Source organism: Homo sapiens, chromosome 21 (genome assembly GCF_000001405.40).
Source record: "Homo sapiens chromosome 21, GRCh38.p14 Primary Assembly".
Lineage (NCBI taxonomy): Eukaryota > Metazoa > Chordata > Mammalia > Primates > Hominidae > Homo > Homo sapiens.
In genome coordinates, this window is record NC_000021.9 from 29,195,782 (window position 1) to 29,212,448 (window position 16,667).

At 38.4% G+C, this 16,667-nt stretch overlaps 1 long non-coding RNA gene across 1 annotated transcript in view, besides 2 other annotated features; it reads left to right on the forward strand.

The window, feature by feature from the left end:
• LINC00189 (long intergenic non-protein coding RNA 189) overlaps positions 1–16,667 on the forward strand; it is a 94,712-nt gene that overhangs the window by 2,288 nt on the left and 75,757 nt on the right. The gene's annotated exons all lie outside the window — the stretch shown is intronic.
• Positions 245–1,444: an enhancer, noted in NCBI's record as "MED14-independent group 3 enhancer chr21:30568347-30569546 (GRCh37/hg19 assembly coordinates)". NCBI's record gives its function as "activates an origin of replication core promoter dependent on BRD2, BRD4, P300/CBP and CDK7 cofactors, and independent of MED14, by STARR-seq in HCT116 cells {active_cell/tissue: HCT116}" and the evidence as "EXISTENCE:reporter gene assay evidence [ECO:0000049][PMID:35650434]".
• Positions 702–941: an enhancer, noted in NCBI's record as "active region_18342". NCBI's record gives its function as "activates an Ori minimal core promoter by ATAC-STARR-seq in GM12878 lymphoblastoid cells {active_cell/tissue: GM12878}" and the evidence as "EXISTENCE:reporter gene assay evidence [ECO:0000049][PMID:35858748]".

Consider the following 16,667-nt stretch of genomic DNA (forward strand, 5'->3'; position numbering starts at 1 on the left):
TCAGGGAACTAAACAGCCATCCTTCTTTGGCTATGGTTTCCTCAACAACTTGGCTTCTTTCCCCTCAGTTTGAGAAGTTATATATAACTTTATGTAATCACTGATGTTTAATTTCTGTGAAATGCTTTAAAAAGCTCACAAGATATAAAACTCTCATTTATTCCCCTTTTTATAAGTGGAAAGACTTGAAGAGGACTTGAGTCCTTTGCTTTTACAGAGTTAGGGTCTAGAGCTGTTGACTTCTAGCCATTCAGAGAGAAAACATCTGAAAGAGTTATGCAGTGAAATCACAAAGCAAACATTGTTTGGGGAACTAAGATAGTATCTAGACTACACACACTGAAAAGCGAATTTATGTCCACACTTATTTTCTTCTTTGCACTCCTCTCTCTCCTTTCTTCTTCGTCTCTGTTCTCTTTATCCACTTCATATGCTGCAAGAGACATTTAGTACCTGACTACACAAAAAGAAATGTGCTGAGTTTGACTTTCTTTTTTGCATACACTAGGGAACTAATTTTAGCGTATGTTGCATTCTTTTATAAATGACTTTTTTTTGGCTGTCTTAGAGTTCTAAACTCTCGCTATCGTGCTGTGCATTTTTATTTCCCTGCTTTGCACTGTGGCAGAAAGAAAGCAAAAAGCCATCACTACACTAGGGGCGCCCTCTAAATAAAGACGGCTTTCCCCAGGTCTGACTGTGACTTTCCCCCACCCCACTAATGGAAAGGGTTAGAAAAAGGAAGTAGCATGAGTCACTGCTATTGCCACACCCTCAGGAAAACCCCTGCTCCATCTTCCTCTTGTGCTACGATGACTCTTTCTAGCCAAGGTCCTGGGTCACAGGAGCAAAGTTTTCAAAACATACTCATGAGTTTCTGGAGGAATGCAGTGTCGAACTGATTGACAACAACAAGAATCAAAACAAGGTTAGATACCAAAAAATAAAAATAAAAAATTATTTGACTGAAAAATAGAAGAATGGGTCTGATCCAAACATTCATTTATGAGCTGGTTGTTTGAAAGTGAAAACGTAGTTTCCATTTTTTACATATACATCCTCGATGATTGTTAGGACTGCTAGACTATCCACTCAAGGCTATCCTACACCCAAATGGCTGAGGTGCGTGTAATATTGTTTCTGTGGGGAAGGTTCAGTTGGCTTTCCTGTTTGGTTACCAGGGACATATTTTCCCATCCTTCACCACGGTTCTAACAGCTGGTGGGGTGATGTTCCTTTAGCCATTTGGCTGGGCAATGAGAATAGGACTTCTGGAGACAAAAATACTTGCCACAGAGATAAATCTGGGAAGGAAGAGGGGAAAACCCTGATTTCTGTTGTGGAGGAGAGAAGGTAATTTTGATATGGACAGAAGACAGGGAAATATTGGGTAGAAGAGGGTGGTTCCCCAGCAAAGTCCCAACCCTCAAGCCTTGAGACCCGTGGCCGTAAGTGGGAACAGGCATTATGTGCCCCAAAAGTTGCCTTTTGGCTCGCCATGCCCCTCCATCCTGTACCCATATAAACCCTGAACCCCAGGCTCCAGAAGCAGATGAGCAGATGAGGAGACAAGCAGACAAACAGCGCAGCAGAGAAAGAGAGAAGAGAAGGAACATCTGAACGCTGAGAGGAGCTCAGCTGGGGGTGGTTGGAGGGGAGTTTGACTGCTGGATGGCCAAACTCCAGGGGAAGATCATCTTCCCACTCCATCCTCCTCCCAGCTCCCCATCCATCCTGCTGAGAGCCACCTCCATCACTCAGTAAAACCCCACATTCATCCTTCAAGCCCGTGGGTCACCTGATTCTTCTGGGATGCTGAGCAAGAGCTAGGGATACAGAAAGCTGCCATACTGGTCCTCTGCCCTTGCAAAAAGGGGCCGCAGGCACCCACCCCTAGATACGGGGCTGGAGCCCAAGGCACTTGCCCCAGCTCCTACACCTGTCAGTCTGTGTGTTTCCCCTCCCATCAGGGGTTTGAGCAATGGTGACAACTGAAGAGCAGTGGTGTCGACTGAACAGGCGAGCCATACCTCTGTTGCATGTCCTGCGAGAGGGATCAGGAAACTTTCCCGTTTCAATCTGGGGCAACTGCCTGGGTCATTTCTGTCACTAGGGATGGGAAAATAGAGGAGAGGCAGGAGAAAATGTGGGGCAGTGGGAAGTGATGGTCTTGGTGAGGAACAGAATGAAAAGTCATACCTTCTAGGAGAGTGAGGACTGGTTTGCTGTCCTCACTTGTAGGTGTCAAGTGGTGTCGCATTGTAATTTTTATTTGTATTTCCCTAATGACAAGCACGTTTTTATGTACTCATTGGCCATTTGGACATATTTGAAGACATGTCTATCAAATTGTTTATTTCTTAATTGGGTTGTCTTTTTATTGTTAATCTCTAGGAGTTCTTCATATATTCTGCATTGTATATTCAGTCTTTGATTATATATATTATTTGCACATATATTTTTCCAATTCTGTGCGTTGTCTTTTTGTTTTATTGATTGTGTCCTTAGAAACGGGGTTTTTGATTTCTATGAAATCCAATTTATCTGCTTTTTCTTTTGTTGCTTGTACATTTGGTGTTATATCTGTGTATTAGTCCCTTTTCACACCACTGATAAAGACATACCCATGACCAGGCATGGTAGCTTGCACCTGTAATCCCAGCACTTTGGGAGGCCAAGGTGGGTGAATCACTTGAGGTCAGGAGTTCAAGACCAGCCTGGCTTAGATGGTGAAACCCCATCTCTACTAAAAATACACACAAACACACAAAATTAGCTGGGCATTGTGGCACATGCCTGTAATCCCAGTTACTTGGGAGGCTGAGGCAGGAGAATAGCTTGAACCCAGGAAGTGGAGGTTGTAGTGAGCTGAGATTGCACCACTGCATTCCAGCCTGGGCAACAGAGCTAGACTCCATCTCAAAAAAAAAAAAAAAAAAAAAAAAAAAAAAAAGACATACCCGAGATTGGGTAATTTACAAAAGAAAGAGGTTTATTGGACTCGAAAGTTCTATGTGGCTAGGATGGCCTTACAATCATGGCAGAAGGTGAAAGTCACATCTCACATGGCGGCAGACAAGAGAAGAGTGAGAGCCAAGCAAAAGGGGTTTCCCCTTATAGAACCATCAGCTCTCATGAGACTTATTCACTACCATGAGAATAGTATGGGGGAAGCTCCCCCCATGATTCAAGTGTCTCCCACTGGGTCCCTCCCACAACACAACAGAATTATGGGAGCTACAATTCAAGATGAGATTTGGCTGGGGACACAGCCAAACAGTATCAGTCTGTAAACCAAAAATAAAATTCTAAGCCCTTCAACCATCTGAATGAACCACTCCTCTTGGCCAAGGGCATTCCAAAGTTAACCTGAAAAACTAGTTCAGGCCATGATGGGAAGGGAGGGTCAGAAGTGCCTCATTATATATCCTCTTCCCTTTTGGAATTCAGGAAAAGCCTTCCAGCACTAACATCAACACAGACCTTAAGTCTTACAAGAAACATTTACCATCTATTCTCTCTGAAGCCTCCTACCTGGAGGTTTCATCTGCATGATAAAACTTTGGCCTCCACCATCACTTATCTTAACCTAGACATTCCATTCTATTAATTTCAGGTCTTTAGATAATAGCTTAACTCTTTCAACCAATTGCCAATCAGAAAATCTTTAAAATCTACCTATGAGCTGGAAGCCCAACTTCAAGTTGTCCTGCCTTTCTAGATCGAAACAAAGTACATCTTACATGTATTGACTGATGTATTATGTCTCCCTAAAATAGATAAAAGCAAGCTATACTCGACCACCTTGAGCACATGCCATCATGACCTCCTGAGGCTGTGTCACGGGTGCATCCTTAACCTTGGCAAAATAAACTTTCTAAATTTATTGAGACCTGTCTCAGGTACCTTTGGATTCACAAATCTAAGAAACCATTGCCTAACCCAATGTCATGAAGATTTACTCTTATGCTTTCTTCTAAGACTTTTTTTTTTTTTGAGACAGAGTCTCACTCTGTCACCCAGGCTGGAGTGCAGTGGCACCATGTCGGCTCACTGCAACTTTCATCTCCTGGGTTCAAGCAATTCTCCTGCCTCAGCCTCCTGAGTAGCTGGGATTACAGGCACCCACCACCATGCCTGGCTAGTTTTTATATTTTTAATAGAGATGGGGTTTCACCATGTTGGCCAGGCTGGTCTCAAACTCCTGACCTCAGGTGATCCACCCACCTTGGCTTCCCAAAGTGCTGGGATTATAGGCATGAGCCACCATGCCCGGCCTCTTCTAAGACTTTTATAGTTTTACCTCTTATATTTAGGTCTATGGTTGACTTTTATAGTTTTACCCCTTATGTTTAGGTCTATGAATTTTTGTATATGGTGTGAAGTAGGGCTTCAAATTTATTCATTTGCATATGGATATTTAGTTGTCCCAGCACCATTTGTTGAAAATACTACTGTTTCTTCATTAAATTTTCTTGACATCTTTGCTGAAAAATCATTTGACCTATAAATGTAAGAGTTTATTTCTGAATCCAATTCTATTCTGTTGATCTATATGTCTATGCTTATGCCAGTACTACATTATCTTAGTCACTGCAGTTTTCTAATAAGTTTTGAAACTGATAAGCCTAAGTCCTACAATTCCAGGTTGTTTTGGTTATTGTGGTTCCTTTGAGTTCTTATACAAATTTTAGGATTGGCTTGTCAATTTCTGAAAAAACATAGCTGAGATTTTGAGAAGGATTGAGTTGAATATGTGGATTAATTTGTGAAATATTGCCACCTTAACAGAAGTAAGTCTTCTGATCCATGAACATGAGGTATCTTCCCATTTATTTAGATCTTCTTTAACTTCTTTCAATGATCTTTTACAGATTTTCAGTGTACAAGTCTTTTACTTAAAAAAAATTATTCCTGAGGTTTTCTTTTATACTTTTGCAAACAAAATTGTTTTTTATTGTATTTCTTATTGTTTATTGCTATTTTATAGAAATAAAATTCATTTCCGTAAATTGATCTTCTATTCTGCAACCTTATTATGCTGGTTTGTTAGATTCTTATAGTTTTTTGGTAGATTTTCCTTAGGATTTTATATATACAAGATTACATCATCTGCAGATAGAAACAATTTTACTTCTTCCTTTGTAATCTGTCAAGTCTGTATTCTTTTTTATGTGCAGCCACTGAAGTCTCTGCCTAGTCTGATTAGCAGTCAGCTAATTATTAGACAGAGATTTTCTTAAATGCTTTGAACCACTAAGTTTCCCAGTCTTTGCTGATGGGATATATGTGTGCTTACCTTTTATTTCTTTCTTTCTGCCTAGCTGCTCTGGCTAGAACCTTCAATACAATGTTGACTAGAAGTGGTGAGAGTAGACATGCTTATCTTGTTCCTGAACTTTCTTTCACCATTAAGCATCATGTTAGCTAGAGGTTTTTCATAGATGGCCTTTATTGGGTTGAGAAACTTCTCTTCTATGCTTAGTTTGCTATGGGGATGGGGGTGGATTTCATCAATTGCTTTAAGAAAATGTATTGAGATGATTATGTGGGTTTATCTTTAATTCTACTAATATGCTATATTACATTGATAGATTTCTTATGTTGAGCCAACCTTGCATTCCTGGGATAATCTCACTTAGTCATGGTGTATAATCCATTTTATATGTTGTTCAATATGGCCTGCTACACTTTTGTTGAGGATTTTTGCATCTATATTCATAAGAGATATTAGTCTGTGTTTTTTTCTCTTTTGATATCTATATCTGATTATGGTATTATGGTGATATGGCCTCCATAGAATTAGCTGGGAAATGTTCCTTTCTCTTCCACCTTTTCAGAAAAGTTTGTGAGTGATCTTCATTCTTTCTAAATTATTCAGTGGAATTCATTATTGAAATCACTTGAGCCTGGACTTTTTGTGAGAAGTATTTGGATTACTAATTCAATCTCTTTACTTATTATAGGTCTATTTGAATATTCAGTTTCTTCTGAGTCAGTTTTGGTAGTTTGTATCTTTCTAGGAATTTGGCTACCTCATCTAGGTTATTTAATTTGTTAGCACACAATTGTTTGTAGTATTTTCTTATAATCCTTTTATTTCTTTAAACAACTTAATGATGTTCTTTATCATTTCTGATTTTAGTGATTGGAGTGATGTGTATTTCTTATATGGCATGTCTGCTACTGATGAATTATTTTAGTTTTAGTTTATCTGGGAATATCTTACTTTCTCCTTCATTTTTGAAAGACACTTTTGCTTAATATAGAATTCTTGATTGACAATCTTTTTCTTTCAGCACTTTGAATATATTAACTCCCATTTCCTTCTGATCTCAATGGTTTCTGATGAAAAGCCAACAGTTAATCCTACTAAGAATCCTTTGTATGTGGTAAGCCATTTCTCTCTTGCTGCTTTCAAGATTCTTGCTTTCTCTTTGTCTTTTTACAGTCAGATTACAATGTAACTCACTGTGGATCTCTTTGAGTTTATTCTACTTGAATTTATTTAGATTTTTGACTGTGTAATATGTTTGACCAAATTTGGAAAATTTTTGGCCATTATTTTTTCAAATGATATTTCTGTCTTTTTATCTATCTTTTCTTCTCTTGGACTGCCATATGTTTGTATGCTTGATAGTGTCCCACAGGTTTCTGAAGCTTGTTATTTTTTTTTTTAATCTTTTTTCTTTCTGGTCCTGGATAATCACAATTGGCCTATCTTCAAGTTCACTGATTCTTTCTTCTATGAGTTCAAATTTGTTGTTAATCCCATCTAGTGATTTTAATTTCAGTTATACTTTTCAACTTCAGAATTTCTATTCTCTTAAAACAATAATTTATATCTTTTTATAGATATTTTTGTTTGATGAGACATTATTCTCACACTTTGTTTTAATTTTTTAGATGTGGTTTCCTTTAGTTCATTAGATGATTAAAGGTCATTGTTTTTTGAGTACTCACGGACATATATATGGCAGAAATAGACACCGGGGACTACTAGAAGAGGAAGGGAGGGAGGGGGACAAGGGTGAAAAAAAAAAAACAACTATTGGGTACTATACTCACTACCTGGGTTACAGGATTATTCATACCCCAAACCTCAGTATCACACAGTATACCCATGCAACAAAGTTGCACATGTTCCCACTGAGTCTAAAATAAAACATCAAATTATAAAACAAAAAGCAAAATAAAATCTTTGTTTGCTAAATCCAAAGTCTGGACTTTGTCAAGGAGAATTTACTGCTTGTTTTCTTTTGCACGGGACATTCTTTTTTTTGTGTGTGTATGTGTCTCTCTGTTTTTGTTAAAAACTGGACATTTTAAATAATATGTCTATTCGGGAAATTGGATGCTCTCTTCTCCCCAAAGTTTGTTGTTATTGTTGCTATTTTTTCTTACTATTATTAGTTTGTTTATTCGTTTTTTTAGTGACTTTCCTGCACTAATTCTGTAAAGTCTATATTCTTCTTTTATATGCAGCCATTGAAGTCTCTGCCTGGTTAGATTGGTAGTCAGCTAATGATTAGACAGAGATTTCCTTACATTCCTTGAACCAATAAGTTTCCCAGTTTTGGGTGATGGGATATATGTGTGGGTTGGGGTATATCTTTAATATTCCTACAGGCAGTTTACAATTTTGCCTTAAACTTTCTTCCTGCTTGTATGTAATCTTAAGGTAAGCCAGAGGTGAGGAATTAGGATCTTCTCAGGTCTTTCCTGTGCAGGTACACAGCCCTGCACATGTGAATGACCTTCTGTATTTGCAGGAATATGTGTTTGCTTTCCAAAGTCTCTTATGGACATCTTAATTCCTTGGTGGTTGTGTTTTGGTCGGTTTCCTGTTAGCTCCAACCAGTAACATTGTCTCAGGCAGCTGCAATGTGAAATAATTGCCACCTATTTTTTTTTTTAAACAAATGTCCTAGGAATAGGGCTGTTGGCACAGAGCAAATTCTGGGTTAGGTCAAATACAGAAAAGCCCTGAGAACGGATATTTTCAGTGAACTGCCACACAGGTCAAGTCTTAACAATTATGAGATTTGGGGGAAGTTTTATATCCATATCCATTTGACCCTCTCCAGTGGCTGCCAGGCTGCTGGTTTTCATAGCTACCGTAGTTGCGAGGCTGTTGGTTTTCAATGTTACCATGGCATTGGGGTGGGGGAGAGGGATTAGGTCAAGTTAAAATGCCACAAAATAGCTCACTGGTCTTACCAAGATTCAGCCATTTTTTCCTGACTAAACAGTCCTTGACATTTTGCAATCTTTTAGTTAATTTCCAGAGTTCTGAAAAAGTTAATTTTGACAATTTTTGCCACTGATCTCATTGCTTTTATGGATGAGCAGATTTTTGATGGTCTTTATTCTACCATTCAAGAAGTACTGTCTTTTTTAGCATGTTAAAAGGTAAGTTTTTTTAAAAAACATAAACCATGACACAAAAATTATAAAAATAGTAAATGAACACACGCCAAAGACTTTATTTAACTCTGTATTTATTGTGGAGCATATTAAGATACTATACATTCAAAAGAGAATTAAATACACATACACACAGAGGGAATTGAGAATGCTGAAATCATTTTACAGGCATATTGGGTTAATACCTACAGCCCAATAATCAATTGTATTTCACAGGGCCCAATTCACTTTCATTTCTTCAGGCAAGCATCATTTGTGTTATTAGTTTTTGACAATATTGAGAGTAGTGAAGCAGCTGAAAGGGAGTACAAGGCAAAGATACACTAGAAGGATAGACAGACAGAGTCCTGGTAATCTTTTTTCCCCACAATAAAGTTTTTGTAGTTTTTCCTGATAAGGGAATGGAGAAGAGAGTGTAGGGAAAAGCAGTATAACATTTTGAGACCCTGGACATGTGACTAAAACAGTGGAAAAGGACAGAGCAGAGTGCAGGGGTGTTCAAGGTAGCTGTTGCTGGCCTCGCCTTCAGTGATAAATTCTTCTCTATGCCCCGCTTCCTCATCTGTAAGGTAAAGATATGGATCAGCTGATTGCTAAGGCTCATCCCATTCCAGCTGTATTCAAATGTGGCCCCCAGAACTGCAGCATCAGTATCACCTGAGAACTTGTTAGAAATGCAGATCCTTAGGCCCCATCCCAGTTTTACTGAATTGGAAACTCCAGTGTAGATCTCAGCAAGCTCTCTAGGTGATTTTGATGCAGCTGAATTTTGAGAACCATTGTATATCAATTTTCTATGAGATGGAAATTTGATATTGATATGATATAGTTTGGCTGTGTTCCCATTCAAATCTCACCTTGAATTGTAATAACCCCTGCCGGGTGCCAGGTGGAGATAATTGAATCATAGGGTCAGTTTCCCTCCTACTGTACTTGTGGTAGTGAATAAGTCTCACGAGATCTGATGGTTTTATAAATGGGAGTTCCCCTGCACACAGTGTCTTGCCTGTCGCCGTGTAAGATGTGACTTTGCTCTTCACAGGCCTTCCACCATGATTGTGAGGCCTTCCTAGCCATGTGGAACTGTGAGTCAATTAAGCCTCTTTCCTTTATAAATTACCCAGTGTCATGTACATCTTTATTAGCAGCGTGAGAATAGACTAATACAGATATCAAGGAAACTCCATTAGCTATCATGACAGCATATTTAGAATTTTCTCCTAAACTTTGAAAGCATCAATTATTTCTGTGTGTAAAAGGAAAAAGTCAGTTTGGTTAAAGCTCTTTTTATTTTTTATATAAAAAAAGGAGTTCGGCCGGGCACGGTGGCTCACGCCTGTAATCCCAGCACTTTGGGAGGCCGAGGTGGGTGGATCATGAGGTCAGGAGATTGAGACCATCCTGGCTAACACGGTGAAACCCCGCCTCTACTAAAAATACAAAAAGTTAGCCGGGCGTGGTGGCGGGCGCCTGTAGTCCCAGCTACTCCGGAGGCTGAGGCAGGAGAATGGTGTGAACCCGGGTGGCGGAGCTTGCAGTGAGCCGAGATCGCACCACTTGCACTCCAGCCTGGGTGAAAGAGTGAGACTCCGTCTCGAAAAAAAAAAAAGAAAAAAAAGAATAAAAAGAGTTCATTTCTTCTTACTCAGAATTCATTATAGAGAGTAGCTTATCATTGCTCTATGTCCATTTGTTGTAGGCAAAACCTCAATTCACAATTTATTTTAACATAACCAGTCCAAAGAAAGGTCAGAGAGGTATTTTTTGTAGCTTTGAGTTTCATATATTTTATATAGTTAGAAACTTCTCTCCTAGTTATCATAGTGGGGAAGGGTGAGGTCAGACTTCCGAAGTCTTGTGCTGGAAAGTTTTTGGTCTTTCTCTTCACTCACAAAGGCAGTGATTACAGGACACTATGGGCTGTGCTTGGAAAACTTTTGTATAAACCTCAGTCCTTGGGTTGGGCACTTCTCTGCTTACTTATGATGAGCTATTCTGTTTGTTTGGTACACAGTAGACTGGTCCTGTTTGCCACTATCATTTCCTTACGGTTTACAGCTATGGTGCACCATTTAAAATGATGGTTTTCAGTATCCTAATTGTATGATGTGTCCTTTGTACATTCTCAGCATGATGCTCTTTCCAGCGTTTTCTACAGTAGCTGTTCTCTGCTCAACCCCATCTAATCAACTCGTGCAAAGGTGATCATTGTTTCTAAGTGGATGCCCTGGCCAGCTTTGAAAACTCTCTTAGCAATGACTTATATTTAAGCATAGGTCACTGATTACATTGGTCAAAGTAATATCTATGAAGTTAAGAACAATGAGACCTCAGAACTAGTAGTCAAAACCTCACTGTTCACAATGTAGGGAAGTTTCTCCAGCAGGTGTTAATAGGTTTACTACAAAGAAAGCATTGTGTCTGTGGTCAAATCTCTCAAAGACTTCTGATGTACATTCGTATCGAACACTCTGAGAGTCTTATAGTAAAGAAACATCTAACTGTGTGTAACTCACGTTTTCAAACTTATTTGAGCATGAAACATTTTTACCACTGGCATATCTAATCACATCCAGTTTGGGAAAGGATGTGTAGAATATTTGAGATGATCGTTAGAACTTGTTAAAAGGAGAGTTTCTTAAAAATCCAGGAGTGTGGTGCAATGCTGAGTCCTCAGAGCCTCCCTGTGTTTCCATAACAGAGATAAAATAAGACTGGATATTCACAGAATCCTGTTTTATTCATCTAATGATCGAAAGAGGTAAATTATGTGAGAGACCGTCCTGTGCAACAAAGGATCAATATAAATGTGAGTTATTCGTGATTATGGTAACTGAGTTGACTGCAGCTTTGTTACTCAAAATGTGGCCTATGAAAGCAGAGCATTGGAATCACCTGAGTGCCTGCTAGAAATGCAGAGTCTCAGGCCCTAATCCAGATTTATTTCATCTAAGGCTGCATTGTAGCAAAATGTGATTCCTAGGCATGTTAAAGTCTGAAAAGCGTTGATTACAGCCTTTTGTACTCTTCCTCTTCCTGACATATCTTAGGTTCATTTCTTCTACCTCATTTCGGTGCCTGCCCCATCTGGAATTCTTTGCAATACTTCTCTTCCTGGAAATTCATAATCTTTACCATTCACTTCCATCAAAATTTTGTTCCTCTTTTCCCTCCCTGAATTCTAATATTATATGTGGTTTTTTTGAATGCCAATAGTATGCCTGGACCTAGGAAATTTCTCAGAAGACCACAGTAAACTTTACAAAATTTTAAAAATTCCGTAAATTGTTCAACACTTGTTTTCATCTGTTTTCTGCTGCTATAACAGAATGGATGATTTATAAAGAAAGGTTTATTTAGATCATGGTTCTGGAGGTTAGGAAGTCCAAATGGCACTGGCATCTGGTGAGTGGCATCCCATGGTGAAAGGGTGGAAGGTGGGATTGAGCCCATGAGACAGAGACAGAAATAGGGGCCGAACTTAGGTTTTTATCAGAAGCCCACTCTTGTGATAATTAACCTACTTCCAATATACTGGCATTAATCCATTCACGAGGGCAGAGCCCTTATATTTTCTTTATAGTGTTAACTTCTTAAATAAAGGTTCCACCTTCCAATACCCTTACAATGGCAATTAAATGTCAACATGAGTTTTTGTGGGGACATTCAAAACATAGCAACTGTCAATTAGTTTTCCAAAGTCAGTCTCTCTAGGTCTTTCTTTAGTTATAGGAAGGGACAAGGTACGGGGCTGGGTGTGTTAACAATCCCTTTCCATTTAATAAAGGTTGCTAAGAGTTAAAAATCTAAGTTCTGCCTATACAAAAAATAACATTCATTATCATAATAGTTTAATTTCGGATGAGATCGGGCACGTGCAGAGTGGTATGGCTGTAGACACACAATAGTTTCAGAAGTCAGACTGTCAGAACCATATAGTGAGAGCTACCATAAGCACCAAAAAGCCCATGTATAGATTTCTCTAGCAAAGACGCTTCCTTAACGGCGCCACTGCTCCAGGATGGGGTTGAGGTGTTGCTGGGGATTGGTAGCCACATTGCTTGTAAAGAGACTGTACTTGCTCCTTCCAGTCTCCCTATGATAAAGTTTTAAGAATATCATAATGAGAATTTTTAGGCTACATATAGATTTTTCCACTGTAGGCAGATGAAATCACATATTCTGGTTAGACATTAGATAAAGCTTCTGAGATTTGGACATGCTTTCATTAGACAAATGAATGTAATTTTTGATGATCTAATACTCTGCATGTTTCCGGAGGAAGCAGTTAAAGACAAATTTAAATTCTGACAAAGATTTATTCAGCTTGTTCTTTGGTGGGGAAAGGAAGCTGAATAGTAAAATGTCAACGATTCAAAACTCCTAATTTTCCTTGTTCCAAGTAAAGAATGAGTTTCTAGATAACAGAATTTAAAAAAAGTTCCCGTAAGTTTTCCCTTCTTCAGTACTCTCACAAATATCCATGCATGCCAGTAAATAATGTAACCTTAATACATTAAAAGATGAATCATGTAAAAGGGAAGTGAAAATGACAAATATGGGAAAAAATGTGACACAAAGAAGTGCATTATGTGTTTATTCGAGAAACCATGAAAACTTCTGTGAAAAAGCTAAGTGCATGAGATCACTACTCAACATTTTAAATCCCTCAGTGCTGAATTTTCATGGTTTGCAAGCAATCTGAAGGGCATTCAGGCTTCTAGGAAGAAGTTTTGCAACTTTGAATTTTTGCCTGTCTCTTGGCCTTAATACAGCAATTTAAAAATAAAGTATCAAGGGAACTCAGCCTGTCTCTAAATTGAGGAATAATATTCTGCCTTTACAAGCCTGTGACATCACGTATCTTCTTACTTTACAAAAGCTCAAATTGCTTGAGCATTAAGATATTAAGAACCTAGTCATGCACAGAAAACACTAGTTTTTTAAATTTTCCAAAGTGATTGGCTCTGAAACTCTAGAACAGTGTTGTCCAAAACAACTTTCTGTAATAGGCCAGGTGTGGTGGCTCATGCTTGTAATCCCAGCACTTTGGGAGGCCAAGGTGGGTGGATCACCTGAGGTCAGGAGTTCAAGACCAGCCTGGCCAACATGGGAAACCCCATCTCTACTAAAAATACAAAAATTAGCTGGGGTTGGTGGTGCATCCCTGTATTTCTAACTATTTGGGAGGCTGAAGCAGGGGAATCAGTTGAACTTGGGAGGTAGAGATTGCAGTGAGCTGAGATTATGAAACTGCACTCCAGCCTGGGCAACAGAGTGAGACTCTGTCTCTAAAAAAAAAAAAAAAAAAACTTTCTATAATGATAAACATTTTCTGTGTATATGCTGTCCAATGTGGTGGCCATTACTAAATGAATATTTAATTTTTTAAAACTTTAATTAATTAAAATTTAAGTTTAAATAGCTGCATGTGGCCAGTGGCTACAGGGTTGGATAATGCAACCCTAGGAATATTTTCTTTATGGTGTTAACATATAATTTAAAGCATTATTTTTATGTCTTAATACTATTTTCTAGTTTATGTATATAGAAAAAAACCTTTAATACCTTAGATGAGAACAAATTTTTAGTGCCATTCCTTAAAGATTATTTTCTTGGAAATAATGACATAAGTGGTCCATTAGATGATGTTATATGAGTCATAGAAATGCTTGATATAAAGTCCAAAATATCCTCACACATGTGGTCTGTGAGGCAGGCTTGTATATAGAAAAAAGGTGGAGGAAATTATGAACACAGGGAAGGAGGTAAAATCATTGCTGGTGCCATATGTCTGGATCTTCTGTTTTCTTCTATTGTGATTTATGTTCTTTTTAAATGACTTTACTGAGCCCTTTGATTTATTTTGTGATAAAGATTAAATATTTTGTCCTTTTCTGATGTTTAAAATCTGAGATTAGTCTAAATAAGGTGACCCATTTTTTTGAGGCACACACTGCCCACCTGTCATCATACCACTGGCAAAGCCTTTAGATAATGAACTAGTACATGTGATAGCCTCCAAAATGCTCCCTTTGAGCTCTTTCTTTATTTTTAAATGTCTTGCTAATGGAGTTTCTTAAAACTGTTTTTTTCTTGGAGTATTTCCTTCAGGGTTGGTTTATATACCACACAGGAAACCAGTTTCATTACCTGATAATTGTGCTTTGGTTATAGAACCAATTCTTTGAATGGGCTGGACATAGGAGGCCAAGTAGAAGTCAGCCTTGTTCTTTCAAACCCCCTCTCAGATTTCTCTTTCCTGTCTATGGATAAATTTGTCTTAAAGATCCCATTTTCAGGTATTAAAAAGTCCAGCCCATGGGAAAACAATATTCACATGTAAAATAATGAAGTTGGATCTTTACCTAACATCATATATAAAAATTAACTCAAGGTATATCAAAGATCCATTTGTAAAACCTAAAATTATATAAATCTTAGAAAAAACACAGGGCAAAAGCTTCACAACATTGGATTTGAAAACAATCTTTTGGTGGCTGTTATACCAAAGGCAAAGGCCATAAAAGAAGAAATAAACAAATTGGGCTTCATGAAAAATTTTAAAATTGGACATCAAAGAAAATATCAGCTGGCTAAAAAGACAACCCACAGAATGGGAGAAAACATTTGCAACTCACAGAAGGGGTTGATTAGTATCCAGAATATATAGAGAACTCCTAAAACTGAACAACAACAAATGACCTGATTCAAATGGGCAAAGAACTTGAATAGGCATTTCTTCAAAGAAGGTGTATAAATGATCAATAAGCATGTGAAAAGATGTTCAACATTAACAGTCACTGGAGAGATACAAATCAAAACTAAAAGGAGATCCCGCTTGACACTCATTGGGATGGCTACTATTTAAAACAACACAGAAAATCACAAGTGTTGGTGAGGATGTAGAGAAATTGGAACGCTTGTACACTATTGGTAGGAATGCAAAATGGTACACTGTTGTGGAAAATGGTATGGTGGTGGATCCTCGAAAAATTAAAAAATAGAATTACCATATGATCCAGTAATTATGCTTCTGAGTATATACCCAAAGAAATGAAAGTGGTGCACCCATGATTATAGCAGCATTATATTCACAATAGCTAATATGTAGAAGCAACACAATTATCTATTGATTGATGGCTAGACAGGCAAAATGTGGTAAATACATACAAGGAATATTACTCAGCCTTAAAAAGGAAAGAAATTCTGAAATATGCTACAACATGGATGAACTTGAGGATATTATGTTAAATGAAATAAACCAGTCATAAAAAGACAAATATTGTTTGATTCTACTTATATGAGGCACTTAGGGTAGGCAAATTGATAGAGACAGTAGAATGGTGTTTCCCAAGGGCAAGGGGGAGAGGAAAGTGGAGAGTTAGTGGTTTATGTGTACAGAATTTTAGTTTTACTGAAGAGTTATGGAGATCGATGGTGATAATGGTTGTACAACATTATAAATGTATTTAATACCACTGAACATATACTTAAAAATGACTAAGACAGTAAATTTTAGTTATATGTATTTTAACACAATTTAAAAAATTGGAAACAAAAAGTCCAACCTAGGGTAACATCAAACTTTCAATCACTTGTCCAATTTAAACCTTCTCCCATCCCCCCACAGCTCAGGTGCCTGGGTCCTGGAAGCCTACAGTGGGGAAGGGGTGTTGCGGTCAGCTTCTCTGGTCCTCCTGACCACCTTTTCTCTCATCCACGGTTCCTCACGCCTCTAGGGTAGAATGCAGGAGAGTGGGAAGACTAGAGGCATAGCACAGTCTTAGTTGGCTGGCACTGTTACAACTGGCTGTTTCCAGCCCTCTGGGAGGCAGATGCCCAAATGCACCCTCCACACTTTCTCTCATGAAGTAGTTTCTGAAAATGCCCAAAGGGTCCTCTCACTACCTTGTTCTCTGGCTTTGAGTATGAAAGACTTGGTTGTGAAGTAAGCCATGTGATCAGATGACTGCTTATGAGCCTTGCTTAGCAACCTCATCTGATCAGATCCCATAGCCTCTCCTTTAGGGGTTGCTTTGCCCTGCCAGGCAGATGCCTTCTATATGGCCCTTTCAAGTGTTCCCAAGACGGTTACCTTCCATAGTCTCCATTTAACCCATAGAGCACTCAGCACCTGGCCTCAGACAGGGTATGAAGGTGTAGGCCGCTTCTCTTCACTTTGCTTAGAAGGGAGCTCTAGCTGGCCTCTCATTAGACTTTGTCAGATGAGAATCAGA